Genomic DNA, 16020 nt, shown 5'->3' with positions numbered 1-16020 from the left:
TAGTATTTCCTCTAAATTGCCTTTTTTGCTTAAATAAACCTTGTATGTCTTGCAGTCACTGGCCTGATAGGCCAGTGGTATCTTTATAAATGGGCTGTGTGTGGGCACCCAGGAGGCATCTATCCTGGCGGCGTCATGTGGTGCAGCTTCCAGCTGAGGGGACACAGAGCTGCTAGAAGGCAGGAGGGTGGGTCAGCAAGCGGGAGGCAGGGCAGGCCAGCCCCTCACTGTGCCTCTTATTGCCTCTGGCCAATGAGGCCTGTCTTCTGGGGGCTCTGAGCATCTAGGGGCGAGGAGGGTGAGCTCCCCCTGTGCCCCAGAGTGGGGCCAGGACGTGTCCCAGACACTGCAGGCTGCAGAGCGCAGGACTGTCCCCACGGCCCGGTGTGAGGGTGAGTGGAGGGACTGGCTTCCTGTCTTTCAGCATTGTTTTAAAGGACACTGCATCTGGCTGACACCTGACATCCTCAAACGGGACGGCAGCTGGGGCGCTTGGAGTCCGTTTGGCTCCTGCTCACGTACCTGTGGCACGGGCGTGAAGTTCAGGACCCGCCAGTGTGACAACCCACAGTGAGTTGGCCCCATGTCCCCCTGGCCTTGCTGAGTGGCAGCTGAGGGTCCAGGAGACCCTCTCCAGCCAGCCCTGTCCTGGAGGGCCCTGTGGCTGCACACCAGTTCTGGAGAGGTGCAGGGCAGGCTGCCCCGCCTGCCTCACCCTACCTGGGAGGGGGTGACGGCTCAGGGGACGCTTAGCTCTGCCTCTTACCCCTTCCCCTGGCCGGGGCCCACAGCCCACCTGCCTGCAGCCCACTCTAGACAGATTTACTCTGTCTCTCCTGGCCACGGGCATGGAGGAGAGGAGGGAGGACCGAGCTGGGGAAATGGGGGTAAGCGGGGGTGGTCTCTCAGCCCCCCCGATGCTAGCACCTGGGCAGCTGTTTGCAGCCAGGTGAGGGCAGGGTCGGGATTTGTCATCAGTGTCTGGCTGCCCAGGGGAGGGACAACCTGTAGAGCCGGCCCATGCCAGCTGCATCCCCATGCTCAGCTATACCTCAGCCCCACCCGCCACGCAGGCCCCATGCCCTGTGCTGTCCTCCTGCCCCTTCTCATTCCTCCCACCTCACCCCCACACACCCCGTAAATATCTCCCGGGCCCGTGCTCCCTCCTCAGCCCGCAGCCACTTTCTCATCCACACCCTCCTCTCCCTCCTCCACTGCCTGTCTCCTCCTGCCTGAACGCTCACCCTGGCCTCACCCAGGGAGTGTCCCGGGGGGGCTGGCATGGAGGGAGAACCCTCCACAAACATCAGCGTTACCCCCGTCTCCCACCTGCGCAGCGGGCTCTTACGCCGCAGGCCCTGCAGCTGCTTAGACACACAGAGCTTCGGTCTTTCCTTTTTGGCCTGTCTGGTATTTTAAAGATTTTGATTTGCCTGAAAATATTGACAATCTGTAATTTCACATTAGAAAAACAAACAAAACAGATTTCCAGCCTCCAAATTGGGCATCACAGATGCACAGCCGGGCCCAGTTACCAGCTGGCGGGCAGGGCTCCGGGTGCGTCCCGGCTGCTGCGCTCCGGCCTCTGCGGCCGCTCCTGGGTCCTGTTCACTCGGGCTGCTCTCCTTGCTCTGGCCAGGCCCGAGCTGGACCCTGCGGAGCCAGAGAGGACCCGCAGTCACGGCTCCGCGGAGGGATCCCGCAGTGGGACAGCCTCCCTCAGCAGCACGTGTGAACACGCTCGTGCATGGATCCCTCTCCTACCCCTGCTGTCCTCCTGCCCCAGGCTCCAGGCTGCCCTCCCGGCCAGAAGCAGACAGGGAGCCCCGTGGCCCCTCCTCAAGCACCCCTGGGGCTTTTACGCCAGACTCGGAAAGAGATTGCTGGGCATTTAGAACCTCAAGAGGCAGTGTGTGGGTTGGTGCTGTTCCCAGTGAAGCGAAGACGTTGCAGAAACGCAGCCCGCCTTCTCCACAGGGAGAAAACCCAGCGGCCGTGATGCGTCTGCTTTGTGCCAAGACACTTGCTGAGAACTGCAGCACCGGGACTCTGGGGCCTCAGCATGCCTCTTTCTGTGCTAGGCTCGGTGCCCAGGGCCAGCTGCAGAGGAGACTCACTCAGCTCCTGCCGTGCTGGGGTTTTCGCCCTGTGGGGAACACAGAACCTAAACACCCAATCACAGCTTCCTGTTCATCTCCAAGCCCAGGCATCAGTGCTGGGGAGGAGGTGGCACCAGGGCTGTGAGCAGATGCTGCCTCCCCACAGGAACCCCAGGAGGGAGGATGTGGCCATCCTGTCCTGTCCTTTCAAGAGCTTCACTCTGAGGCCTGACAGGCTGGACAACTGCCCAGGTCTTACAGCTAGGACATGGCAGGGCAAGGTCCCTTTGCTCAGCAGAGCTGCCCCCCGGACACCTGAGACTTAGGGATCCCCCCTAAAAAGATCTCACAAGGGCACCCGGGTGCTGCCTCTTTCCAATGGCACGGAGCGGCAAGGCCTTTGCTTTCTCCTCCAGCCCGGCCAACGGGGGCCGCACCTGCTCGGGCCTTGCCTACGACTTCCAGCTCTGCAGCCGCCAGGACTGCCCCGACTCCCTGGCTGACTTCCGCGAGGAGCAGTGCCGCCAGTGGGACCTGTACTTCGAGCACGGCGACGCCCAGCACCACTGGCTGCCCCACGAGCACCGGGATGGTGAGCCCTTCTGGGAGGCATCAGTGGGGGCTCAGCAGGCAGGCCCTAGGGTGGGCAGGGTGGGGGCTTGTGCCTCTGATCCTGCATGGGGCAAGGCTGCCGCGACCCTGGGCTGGCAGGAGAGCCCACCCTGGCTGGTGTGGCTGCCCTGGCCCACTCCTGGGTGGGGCATTAAAGTTCCTAGCAGGGCTGCAATCCCAGAGCACCAGAACACCCCAGAGTAGCTGAGGACATGGAAGAGGTGGCCGGGCTGCGGGCTCGGCAGGGGCCGGGCTCCTGCAGTTCACCGTGGGTGGACGAGGCTTGAGCTGTGTGGTCAGCTCAGGGCTGAGGCCAGGGCTGACCCTGCCAAGGAATCTGGTGACCTCTGACCTTCTCTATTAGTCGGGACTCTCAGTTGCGAGTGTCAGAAAGTTGACTCCAACCGGTTTCAGCACTAGAAGGCATTTATTGGCTCAGGGACCTGAGGAGTCTGGTGGCCTTGGGCATGGCAGTGCTTGTGTGGCAGCTGGGGACCCTCCTGGGACGGACTGTAAACACAGTCCTTGTTTCTCCTCCATGGCTGTTGCCCTAGCCCAGCAGCTGCTGCCTCATGTGGGCCAGTGCAGGGTTGGAGGTGACACAGCAGATGGGGTCCCCCTCTGGCGGAGGCCACAGTCTGGGGGCCCAGCGTTTTAGTTGCCTCAGATAAAGGCTGAGAAGGGAAGGTTCCAGGGACCTGAGTCTGAATCGAGGCAGGCTGGCCTCATTCTGGATTTCAGAGATTGACTGAAAAGGATTATTTACTTTTTTTTTTTTTGAGACGGAGTCTCACTCTGTTGCCCAGGCTGGAGTGCAGTGGCGTGATCTCTGCTCACTGCAACCTCTGCCTCCCAGGTTCAAGCTATTCTCCTGCCTCAGCCTCCTGAGTAGCTGGGACTTCAGGCGCACGCCACCACACCCGGCTAAATTTTTGCATTTTTTGTAGAGACAGGGTTTCACCATGTTAGCCAGGATGGTCTCCATCTCCTGACGTCATGATCCGCCTGCCTCGGCCTCCCAAAGTGCTGGGATTACAGGCATGAGCCACTGCTCCTGGCCTTTTTTTTTTTTTTTTTGAGATGGAGTCTTGCTCCGTCACCCAGGCTGGAGTGCAGTGTGCAGTGGCGCAGTCTTGGCTCACTGCAAGCTCGGCCTCCTGGGTTCAAGCGATTCTCCTGCCTCAGCCTCCCAAGTATCTGGGATTACAGGCGCTCACCACCACACCCAGCTAATTTTTGTATTTTTAGTAGAGACGGGTTTCACCATGTTGGCCAGGCTGGTCTGGAACTCCTGACCTCAAGTGATCCACCTGCCTCTGCCTCCCAAAGCGCTGGGATTACAGGTGTGAGCCATCTTGCCTGGCCTGAAAAGGGTTCTTTAGATAGCAACCCAGCAAACAGACATTTGCAGCCTCGGAGGTCTCCAAGCGGGGCCTCGGGGATGTGAGAGCCGGGCTGCACCAACAGCCTGGCTGGCTTGGTTGGGAAAAGCTCTTCCAAAGTCCACAACCACCAGGGTCAAAGGCTTAGGAGACACAGAGACAGGAAGGGGGCTGCTGTCACCCACCCCTTTCCCTCTCTGTCTGCCCTGGAGGGTGGGCCACGTGGGGACCCTTGTGGAAATTTCTCCTGCTTGGTGCCTCCTTTGCACACACATGGGGAAGCCATCAGGGCTCCTTGCAGACCCCCAGCTGCTTCCCTTCCAGCCAAGGAGAGATGCCACCTGTACTGCGAGTCCAGGGAGACCGGGGAGGTGGTGTCCATGAAGCGCATGGTGCATGACGGGACGCGCTGCTCCTACAAGGACGCCTTCAGCCTCTGTGTGCGCGGGGACTGCAGGGTGAGTACACAGAGGCCGGCACGGGGGGCTACCGTGTCAAGTCTCAGCTTCCTGGGTACTGACCTCCCCCTTTTCGGGGTATTGGCAAGATGCATGAGGTGAAGCATACGAAGTGTCAGAAACAATGCCCGGACCAGGGCAGGCTCTTGGCAAATGTCTGTTTACCCCTCCCCTGTGCTGGGAGCCTGAGACTTGAGTATGCCTAGGACTCACCTGGAGAGTTTGGACTCCACCTCAGACGTCCTGATTCCACAGGTCACGGTGGTGGCGGCCTGGGAGCATGAATTTTTAGGAGCATCCCAGGTGATTTCCAATGCACGTGACCTACAGGGGACCCTTGTGAAGCAGGCCCCATCCTTGCACCCTGCAGGGCACTGGGCAGCTTCTTGCTGGATCTGGGTGGCCACTGTGAGGGTCACTGGTTTGGTGCTTTGTAGAAATGCCCTCCTCTGTTTTCTTTTATTATGATGCCTTTGGCTTCAATCTTTGGCTGTCAGGAAAAACAATCTCGTGTCACCTCGCCATGTGACGGTGACATGAACATAGACTTGTCCCTGCCAGGCTCCCCCGAAAACAACCGGAAGTCTCTGCTTAGGGCTTGTGTAGACAGGACTGATGGCAGGAGTCGTGGAGGCTGACTCTGGCTTGACCTTCCTGAGAAACAGCCGCATCGGCAGGAAGGCACCTCTAGGGGAGTGGGCGCAGGGACAGCGGCTGGGGGCTGGAGCCGGGAGCTGGAGCTGGAGTCGGGAGCTGGGGGCTGGAGCCGGGAGCTGGGAGCTGGAGCCGGGAGCTGGGGGCTGGAGCCGGGAGCTGGGGGCTGGAGCCGGGAGCTGGACCCGGGAGCTGGGAGCTGGAGCCGGGAGCTGGGGGCTGGAGCTGGAGCCGGGAGCTGGGGACTGGAGCCGGGAGCTGGGGGCTAGAGGCCCGGAGCTGGGGGCTGGAGCCGGGAGCTGGAGCTGGAGTCGGGAGCTGGGGGCTGGAGCCGGGAGCTGGGGGCTGGAGCCGGGAGCTGGGGTCTGGAGCCGGGAGCTGGACCCGGGAGCTGGGAGCTGGAGCCGGGAGCTGGGGGCTGGAGCCGGGAGCTGGGGGCTGGAGCCGGGAGCTGGGGGCTGGAGCCGGGAGCTGGGGGATGGAGCCGGGAGCTGGAGCTGGAGCCGGGAGCTGGAGCTGGAGCTGGAGCCGGGAGGGTGCTCGAGGGCTGCTCTGCATTTGCTCCTGTGACTTCGGCAGGGCCGGGAGGCTGGGCTATACAGCTGGCTCAGAGATGGCGACACCAAATACGCCAAAACAAGAACAGGTGGTGTCTGCTCTGTACCCTTGGGATTTTAATTTATGGAGGTGACCCAGTGAGGACGTGGGGAGGCCAATGTCACTGAGAGGGCTCCTGAGGAAGGCAGGGCAGTGGAAGGGGGACAGCTCAGGAATGGCCAGTTTGAATCATTCCAGTGGGCTCTGGAGTTTAGGGTGGTCCCCAGTAGCCTGGTACCCAACCCTGGGATGAGTTAGGGTGCAAGAATCTTGGTTTGGTATGTGAGTCCTGGATAAAGGAGGTGCTTGGGGTATAGACTGAAGACTGGCTGGCTTGCATGTGAAAGGTGTGTCCCCAACCCAGTGCTTTGCTGTCCCTTAGAACTGGATACCCCTGGGAGGTGTAGTCTCTCCCCAGACAGGAAGATTTTTAAGATGTCAAAATATCAAGACATAGGACGTTTTGAAAAACAAAAACATAATTAATACAGGCAGCAAGCATGGGAAACAGTTGTAGTACAAGTAGCTTCAGATGGCAGCTGTGATCATGGTTGTAAACCTAACGGGGAGGGAAGATCACTAATGCACTGTCTCCGTGGGTGTGGCTATCACGTCACTCCTGACATGGGTATTAAAGAAGGATAGGGGCTGGGCGTGGTGGCTCACGCCTGTAATCCCAGCACTTTGGGAGGCCGAGGCGGGCAGATTATTTGAGGTCTGGGGTTCAAGACTAGCCTGACCAACATGGTGAAACCCCGTCTCTACTAAAAATACAAAAAAAAAAAAAATTAGCTGGGACTACAGGCAGCGACTCGGGAGGCTGAGGCAGGAGACTCACTTGAACCTGGGAGGCGGAGGCTGCAGTGAGCCAAGATCGCGCCACTGACTCCAGCTTAGGCGACAGAGCGAGACTGTCTCAAAAAAAAAAAAAGAATAGGTTAAATATTTTATTAATGTTGATTTTGACAGGTAATAGCAGGTTGCTCAATTTTGCATAATTAGAAAACATAAATATTCATGCAGAACCTAATACTGGGTCAAAAAATAATATCCAACTGGATTCTGTCTGTTAAAGAATATCAAAACTTGGCCGGGCGCGGTGGCTCAGGACTGTAATCCCAGCACTTTGGGAGGCCAAGGCAGGTGGATCACCTGAGGTCAGGAGTTCAAGACCAGTCTGGCCAACATGGTGAAACCCCGTTGTACTAAAAATACAAAAAAAATTAGCCAGGCATGGTGGTGGGCACCTGTAATCCCAGCTACTCGGGAGGCTGAGGCAGAAGAATTGCTTGAACCCAGGAGGCAGAGGTTGCAGTGAGCTGAGATTGCACCATTGTACTCCAGCCTGGGCGACAGAGCAAGATTCCGTCTCAAAAAAAAATGTAAAAATAAACAGCATCTCCTGCTTGCCAAACATAAATGTTCATCAAGCCAGGGACGGTGCCTGCCTGGGCCTCGATGAGTCCCCTGCCCAAGACCAGCCGCGTGCACAGGGGCCCAGACGGAAACTGCCAGGTCGAGACACTGCTGTAGGTGGCAGGCAAGGTCCGTTTAACTGATGACTAGACGCACTCTGATTTTGGAGATAATAAAAGATGAGGCCAGGCAAGGTGGTTCACGCCTGTAATCCCAATGCTTTGGGAGGCCAAGGCAGGAGGATCGCTTGAGGCCAGGTGTTCGAGACTGGGGGCAACATAGTATGACCCTGACTCTACTAGCAGGACGTCTCAAGTGCTCACTGCCTCCTCCCCCAACAGAAGGTGGGCTGTGACGGTGTGATCGGCTCCAGCAAGCAGGAAGACAAGTGTGGCGTGTGCGGAGGGGACAACAGCCACTGCAAAGTGGTCAAGGGCACGTTCACACGGTCACCCAAGAAGCATGGTGAGTGGGTCCCTGCTCTCCACCCTGGAGCCTGGATGCCTGCAGCAGGCTCATGCCCGGACAGCTGAGGGCCTGACTCATCCTGGGGCTGTCCGGGCTTATGACTGTTCTGGGGAGGGGGAGAGGTCTGTGACACTGAGGGGGAGGGAGAATCCTAAGTCGGGGACAGCCCCAGCTGGGTGCCAGGGTGGGTGGGGAAGAGGAGAGTGGGGGCCGGGGTCACAGGGGTTAGAGTGGAGAATGCCAGTATATGAGGATGCCCGGGTTGGGCCTTAAAGACTAGCCTGGAGGCAGCAGCTTTCCTGGTGGCCCCTCTCAGGTGGGTCCTCAAAGCCAGAGAAATACCAGGGTCCTGGGAGAGCCTCCGGAGGAGCTGCCTTCAAGAGCGAGGCCCCTCCTTGCATGGTGCGAATTTGAGCGGCGCCTTCCCTTCTCAGTTTTCTGTGTCTTTCCACATCAAAAAAAGGTTACATCAAGATGTTTGAGATCCCTGCAGGAGCCAGACACCTGCTCATTCAGGAGGTAGACGCCACCAGCCACCATCTGGGTGAGTCTCAGAGCCGGACAACTTGACGTCCTCAGGACCTGGCTCCTCTGGGATCAATGGGCAGAGTGCCAGGGGTCAGGGGTCAGGGGCCCGGGTTGTGCAGCCATGACCTGAGCCAGGGCAGCCCCTCCCCAACCTGTCCCTCTGCTCAGCCCACCTGGGCCCTTTCCCAGGGTCCTCCCCTTGTGGAGAGGCCAGGGTTTGGGATCAGAGGGCTCCGCTTGGCAGCAGCTATGAAAGGACATATATGCAAAACATGTGTCCCTCAGTCTACAGGATGACTCCCTGTCCCCTGTTCTCACAGTCGGGGCGGGAAGGCCCCCTGCCCTCGGGAAGGCAGGCAGGGTCTGCAGGCAGCAGGGTCCTGGGCAGCCCTCCCATCCCCTCAGCAAGGCCAGCTGTCAGGTGGGTGCACACAGTGCACTTACATTTTCAATTCGTTTAATTTTAAATTCAAGAGATTCCAGCTAAAATAGGGATCCTGGTATCTCCTGAAAATATGGATGTTCTCACACCTCTCGGTGCCCCTTTCCACGAAGCAGCGCTGCCTGGGAGACCACGCCCTCCCAGGCCACGCGGGAGGCTCTCAGGACCTGTCCACCCTCCCTCTGAAGGTGCCTGGGCCCTACCTTCTGGGAATTCATGGGCCAAGGTCAGAAGTGATACCAGGGACTGCTGGGGCCCCTGGATAAGTCCCTTCCCCAATCTGAGCCCCACATTCATCCCCATCCCCAGGAGGCTGGACAGGATTGGGGCTCCCACGCTGCCGTGGACCAGCACCCACGCTGCCTGACAAACATACCATGCCCTTTTATTTTATCTCCCTTTTGTTTTATTTTATTTTGTTTTTATTTAGAGACAGGATCTCACTCTCTTGATACTCATTTTTCTTTCTTACTTTTTTTTTTTTTTTTTTTTTTTTTGAGTCTCGCTCTGTCGCCCAGGCTGGAGTGCAGTGGCCTGATCTTGGCTCACTGCAACCTCCGCCTTCTGGGTTCAAGTGATTCTCCTGCCTCAGCCTCCCAAGTAGCTGGGATTACAGGCGTGTGCCACCATGCCCAGCTAATTTTTTGTATTTTTTACTAGAGACGGGGTTTCACCGTGTTAGCCAGGATGGTCTCCATTTCCTGACCTCGTGATCCGCCTGCCTCGGCCTCCCAAAATGCTGGGATTACAGCTGTGAGCCACTGCACCTCGCCTCTTAAGAGGAAACTTTCGACTGCTACCCTAAATATAAAAACCTGTACCACTTGCCTGAAGCAGGTGAACAGAAAAGTCAGTTTCTGAACAAAAAGACATTTCTGTCCCAACGCTGCTTCCTGCCACCGCCTCTGGGGCTGAGGTCGCTCTCTGTGGAAAGGGAGCAAGGGCCAGAGAGAAGGCAGGGACGTGTGGCACCAAGCAGAGGCTTTGTTTGTGAGTGGACAGAATTACAGGGGACGTGACAGGGAATGATTTTCTCACTAGTGCCCTGTCTGCGGCCCCACTCACATCACCCAGCTGCCCCGCAGCAGCCACCCCCCACACTGCAGAGAGCATGGGGCTTCCTGGCTAGCCAGGTCCTCTGCTCCTAGATGACCTGAGTGTCACCCAATCAGGCCAGGCCTCTTCTGGGGCTGTGGGGAGCTGCTGGGGCCTCGGCTGGGCCATGGTCCCTGATGGGGTGGGGGTTCTGCTGTTTCAGCCAGACATATACTCACCCCATGGCAGGAAGCCCTACTCCAGCAGGGTCATGTGCTCGCCTGTCCAGCAGATGCCCTGCACCGCGTACAGACCCCTCCCAGCCATCCTGCCCCGGGTGGCCTCTAAGCGCCCACTGAGTGCTCCCAATAGGGTATGGGTAGGTGGCCTTGACGGCTACTGAGTGGCTTCCAAGGGGAGCCGGCACCTCCAGGGCTGGTGGGGGCAGAGGATGCGAGTGGAGGGTAATCTGGTCCCGAGGGAGCAGTGATGGGCAAGCAGGGCTCCCAGAGCCATCTGGGCTGTCGTGGCACAGAGGAAACTGGCCGGGGGCAGCCAGAGAGACAAGGGGTCCAGCTAGCTGCCCCCACTCCCCGACCAGCCCAAACCAGTGGGCCTGGGTCCTGCTCTTGGGTGACCACAACGGGGGACTTGGTCTTGCCATTCTCAGCCGTCAAGAACCTGGAGACAGGCAAGTTCATCTTAAATGAAGAGAATGACGTGGATGCCAGTTCCAAAACCTTCATTGCCATGGGCGTGGAGTGGGAGTACAGAGACGAGGACGGCCGGGAGACGCTGCAGACCATGGGCCCCCTCCACGGCACCATCACCGTTCTGGTGAGTCCAAGCAGGGCTGGGCCCAGGGAAGGGTGCGGGTGGCCACTGGGGGAGGGATGGGGGTGCCTGGGACGCTGAGCCTCCTGACCCTTCAGGTGACACTCTGCGTGGCCCCTTTGGCCTGCCTTTGGCACCAAGGGGCTCCGACTTGGTCAGAGCCAGGAAGGGACATGCATCCACGAGCCGGGGCTCTGGACCCCACATGACCCCTAGGTGACCTTGGGCACACTCTCCCTTTGAGGGTTTCGGTTTCACCATCTGAATGACATTCACAGCTGCCATCAGCATGCTCGTTCGAGTGTGCTGTTACATTGGAATCGGTGACACTCTGGGAGGTGACGCTCAGGGTCTGGGAAGCTAGATGCCCAGACCCAGGTTGAGCTGGACTGTGTCTCTAAGCAGGATGGGACCCCAGATCTCCTGGTTGTAGGAAAGTACCACGGGGGCTGGATTTTCAAATCACTTTCTTTTTACCTGGTTTTGAGGAGGTCAGATCACTTTTTAAAATGTAATTTAACTGCATAGGGATATATTTTATTTGTCAAAAAAGGTACATATCACAAATAAGGCTCCCATGCTCTGGAGCCCCTCCCTAAGGTGGGCATGCTGGCATTGGGATTAATCCACCAGCCCCCAGCGCTCCACACGTGGGTGCACCTGTAAGCAGGTGCAGCAGTGAGCCAGGTATGCCCCGTGTACCCCCTGGCACCCTGCCTGCCTCGCCTGCAGTGACTTCTGGCCCCCTGGACGTGCCTTTGGTGACCTGCCTGCATCAGTGTGTGAGCAGCTGGTCCTCGGCACTCACGGTTTCTGTATTTGCAAATTCACCTGCTCACTAAAATTGATTCGTGAGCCCCAAACGGACACGCACAGAGTGGTGAAGTGTGAGTCGCCTGCCACACGTGTTCCCAGCGGAGGTGGGAGCAACTCAGCACGCTGTCTGCTTGTTTCTGCTCTCATCCCACAAACAGGGGTTCTTTCTGCAGTCTGTTGAGTGTCACATACATCACATTTTGTGCTATTTTGGGGGCGATTTCGCTGTTGAAAATCACCCTGAGCCTGTTGCTGAAGTGCTGTCCAGTGTTCCTAAGCCCAGGAAGCAGTGGTGTCTTAAGAAGAAAATACATGTGTTGAATAAGCTTCGTTCAGGCATGGGCTGCAGTGCGATTGACTGTGAGTTCAGTGTTAATGAATCACAGTAAAAATTAAATAAAGTGTCTTTAAACAGACTCACACATAGGCCAGGCGCAGTGGCTCATGCCTGTAATCCCAGTACTTTGGGAGGCCGAGGCGGGTGGATCACTTGAGGTCAGGAGTTCAAGACCAGCCTGGCCAACATGGGGAAGCCCTGTCTCTACTAAAAATACAAAAATTAGCCAGGCGTGGTGGCGGGCGCCTGTAATCCCAGCTACTCAGGAGGCTGAGGCAGGAGAATCGCTTGAACCTGGGAGGCGGAGGTTGCAGTGAGCCGAGATCGTGCCACTACACTCCAGCCTGGGCTACAAGAGCGAAACTCCATCTCAAAAACAAACAAAAACAAACAAAAAAATAAACAGACTCACACATAAAACAAGGTTATATATTGATCGGGTAACAAAAATGTTGAGACAGAGGCTCACAGGAACCTCACCCTGTGCCCCCTGGGGTAATGGCTCCCTATTCAAGAATTTGGTGCTCGGGGCGACTTCATGGAATGTAACTGCCATGAATGATGAGACTCCTCTGGAGTCGGCCTCAGCTGCCGTTCCTAAGCTGGCTGGGGAGGAAGCATGGAGGGCAGGTCAGGCACATCAAGGCTCTTGGGCTGGCACAGGTCATCCCGGTGGGAGACACCCGGGTCTCACTGACGTACAAATACATGATCCATGAGGACTCACTGAATGTCGACGACAACAACGTCCTGGAAGAGGACTCTGTGGTCTACGAGTGGGCCCTGAAGAAGTGGTCTCCGTGCTCCAAGCCCTGTGGCGGAGGTGAGGGGGTCTCGAAGCTGGGGACCTGGGTGACATGAGGGTGACCACGAGAAGGTAGGGAGCATCCCTGGGGTGGGGCCAGCGTGAGCAGGGGCCGAGGAGCCACAGCAGGGACCTTTGCCTGGGTGGGCAAGGGCTTAGCGGCAATGGAGGGGCCGGTGGGTGGGCAGGAAGGGGGGTGCTGGGGCATTGGGTCAAATGTGGCCAAAGGGTGTGTGGGGCATGGACCCTGTATTTGTGGGCCTGCTTCAGTGTGGGGGTGACAGGCTGGCCTAGCAAGAGGTTGATGTGTGGACACCTCAGAAGGATCATGCCGTGGCATTGGCAGGATCGCATAGGCAAGACTCTGGCAGTGCAGATGACACCTCCAGAGGCTTCTCTCTCCGTTCACTGGGAAAAGCCTCCCAGATGTTTCTGGGACAGGGCTGAGCACAGAGGGGTCCTACCCACTCTGGACCCCAGAGAGTCTGCAGTTGATGGGACATAGGACCCAGAGGCAGACAGGAAGCGCTGATCTGTTCTGCGTGCTCCTGGGGGCTGGGCGATACCAGGCAAGTGACCAGGACAGTCCTCCCTCGATGCCATGCTGGGCCCACACCTGGAGGACAAGGAGCTCACCAAGAGGTGGGGTCACTCCCTGGCCCAGGCAGATGGAAGGGTCCTCTTCCAGGGCCCCTGGGCACCCCCGGCCCCACACCGGGCCTGGATTTCATCAGCGCATCCACCCCTGGTGATTCCTGAAATCTCCTGGGCCTGTGTGCTCTTCCCATCTTCCTGGCCATTCCCCGGTCCTGGCACCCACCTTCCTCTGGACTGGCCCTTGTGTGTCCACTCTCACCCCAAAGTAACCGTTTGAGGGAACACATCAGACAATGTCTCTCTCTTCCTGGTGTCATAGTCTTCAACAGCTTCCTCTGCTCTTAGGATAAAAAACAAAATTCTCCTCATGGCCTCCAGGGTTGGGGCAACTTGTTGGCCTCTCCCAGTATATCTCCACCCTGTGCCTCGCCCCCAGGTCCTGGCCACGCCGGCCTTAAGGGCTTTTCCTGGATACACACCATGTCCCACCTTGGGGCCTCTGCGCAGGCTTCTCCTCGCCTGAGCCCCTCCACCGCCCTGCCACCACGTCAGCCTCCCCAGCCTCTGCTTCCTGGGATGCCTCCAGGCACCCAGAGGAGGTCAGGCTTTATCTCCATGCTTTCTTTGGTCTTACCCAGCAGGCCAGGGTTTCGAAGCCTGGGCATCACTGACATTTTGGGCTCTGTCACTCGCCGCCATGGGGGCTGTCCTGTGCACGGTGGGGTGTCAAGCAGCATCCTTGGCCTTTGCTCACCAGATGCCAGTAGCACCCCTTCCCCCAGTTGTGACAACCAAACATGTCCCAGACGTGGCCAAATGTCCCCTGCTGGAGAAAATCACCCGGGTTGAGCACGGCTGCTCTGGGCCTGTGGGAGGAAGCATGCGGGCTGCGGGCCCAGTGCTTGCCCGGCTCCTGGCTTGCACCAGGCCTGCTGGGCATGTGAGGTCAAGGTAGAAGCGGTGCCTAGCAGTAGCAAGGAAATAGGGCCTCCACTCTGACCCAGGAGCCCAGTGAGGGAGAGGCAGCCTAGGGGAGAAAATGGCCTCTCCTGCCCTCTCGCCCCTCCACCCGGGACACACCAAGGCCTCCCCCCAGCCAGCCGCAGGCTCGGTGCCCTGCCCACCCTTATTGTCATCACAAGGGTGAGCAGGAAAACGAGGCCAGCACTGCTGGTGCAGCCCACCCCTCCTTGCACCCTCGGGCAGGGCATGCTGCCCCACCGACCCCCGTCGAGCTCTCTGCCTTCAGGGTCCCAGTTCACCAAGTATGGCTGCCGCCGGAGGCTGGACCACAAGATGGTACACCGTGGCTTCTGTGCCGCCCTCTCGAAGCCCAAAGCCATCCGCAGAGCGTGCAACCCACAGGAATGCTCCCAGCCAGTGTGAGTGCCCCCAGCTCGGGCTCCCACTAGAGGAGACAGGCCAGGGGCCACCAGGGGCTCCCGTGCTTGGAGGTGTGGGGCCTGGGCCTGGCATCATCCGAGGCATTTGACCAAGTCTCTCTCACCACATTTCATGGAATCTAAGATGCTGCAGGGCAGAAGGCGCACCCCAGCTTCAAACCCGCCAAACTGAACAGCATCTTAGAGATGACAAGAAACAGGGATGCCCAGATGGGGAAATGGGGGTTCAGAGGCGCAGGGCTCGCCTCCTGGCCCTGTACCACGGGGTAGATGTTTCTTAAGCAGTGGCTTTGACGTTCAGGCCCTGGGGCTGGGCCCAGCTGCGTTTCTGGGTCCAGGGACCTCAGTGGGGAAGACAGTTGGGAAATGGGCAGGTGGGGGCCACATAGGACAGCGTGCTGAGGGAATCCACACTGCTCTTGAGCTCTGCCGAGAAGGATTTGTGACGTCAGCAGAAGGTGAGGCCAGGTAGCAGGGCCCAGACCCTAAGGAGGCTGGGAAACCTCTTCAGGCTAGGGACCTCCAGAGCCACCAGCTCCACCAGGGCCTCCCAGTGGTGACATGCATGGGACTCATGGTCAGTAGGACCTGGGGCAGCTGAGCCTCAGTTTCCCCTCTGTGCAAGCCTGGACAGCCAGCATCTTAGTGAGAATAAGAGAAGGTGCACCGGGGAGGGGTGCAGGCTGCCCTCTGTGCTCGCTGTCTACCTGGGCTGCAGGGAGCGGCGCTGGAGCTCAGCCAGGCAGGTTCTCCAGGTGCTGCGGAAGCCTGACTGTGCCCCGCTCTGCCCTGGCAGGTGGGTCACAGGCGAATGGGAGCCATGTAGCCAGACCTGTGGGCGGACAGGCATGCAGGTGCGCTCCGTGCGCTGCATTCAGCCGCTACACGACAACACCACCCGCTCCGTGCACGCCAAGCACTGCAATGACGCCCGGCCCGAGAGCCGCCGGGCCTGCAGCCGCGAGCTCTGCCCTGGTCGTTGGCGAGCCGGGCCCTGGTCCCAGGTACGCAATCCCCCGATCCCGTGTCCTCAGCTCCAAAACTGAGGGTGGACAGGCATGCAGGTGCGCTCCGTGCGCTGCATTCAGCCGCTACACAACACCACCACCCGCTCCGTGCATGCCAAGCACTGCAATGACGCCCGGCCTGAGAGCCGCCGGGCCTGCAGCAGCGAGCTCTGCCCTGATCATTGGCGAGCCGGGCCCTGGTCCCAGGTAAGCAATCCCCTGATCCCGTGTCCTCAGCTCCCAAACTGAGCTTGGGTGGGACTGAGGTGACCAGAGCATTCCCCTTTCGGCCCGTGGGCCTGGATGTAGCTCCTGTCCTGAGCCACATCCTGTGGGTTTCACGGCGCCAGTGGCTGCCACGTGGTCAGTGCTGTACTAAGAAACCAGTGGAATGTGTGTCTTCACTGCACAGGCAGAGGCTTCTGCATGATACGGGGTCTGGAATCCCAGGAAACTGAGGGTAGCCCGGGCTCCGAGGCCCAGTAGGATGTTCGGGGCTCCAGGATCCTAGGGGACGCCTGGGTCTCATG

General features: G+C 58.7%; 1 protein-coding gene across 3 annotated transcripts in view; it reads left to right on the top strand.

The window, feature by feature from the left end:
* Positions 1 to 16020, top strand: part of ADAMTS2 (ADAM metallopeptidase with thrombospondin type 1 motif 2) — a 234609-nt gene that overhangs the window by 205002 nt on the left and 13587 nt on the right. For all 3 annotated transcript variants that reach the window (NM_014244.5, XM_047417895.1, XM_047417896.1), the window contains 9 exons: positions 425 to 570; positions 2516 to 2691; positions 4418 to 4551; positions 7560 to 7683; positions 8150 to 8230; positions 10362 to 10528; positions 12342 to 12501; positions 14330 to 14462; positions 15280 to 15487. In NM_014244.5, the coding sequence (NP_055059.2) occupies positions 425 to 570; positions 2516 to 2691; positions 4418 to 4551; positions 7560 to 7683; positions 8150 to 8230; positions 10362 to 10528; positions 12342 to 12501; positions 14330 to 14462; positions 15280 to 15487 (1329 nt within the window). The remainder of the gene's footprint in view (positions 1 to 424; positions 571 to 2515; positions 2692 to 4417; positions 4552 to 7559; positions 7684 to 8149; positions 8231 to 10361; positions 10529 to 12341; positions 12502 to 14329; positions 14463 to 15279; positions 15488 to 16020) is intronic.

Source organism: Homo sapiens, chromosome 5, assembly GCF_000001405.40.
Source record: "Homo sapiens chromosome 5, GRCh38.p14 Primary Assembly".
In the NCBI taxonomy this organism is placed as follows: Eukaryota; Metazoa; Chordata; class Mammalia; order Primates; family Hominidae; genus Homo; species Homo sapiens.
Note: the sequence above shows the minus strand (reverse complement) of the source record. Positions and strands in the feature narration are given on the sequence as shown.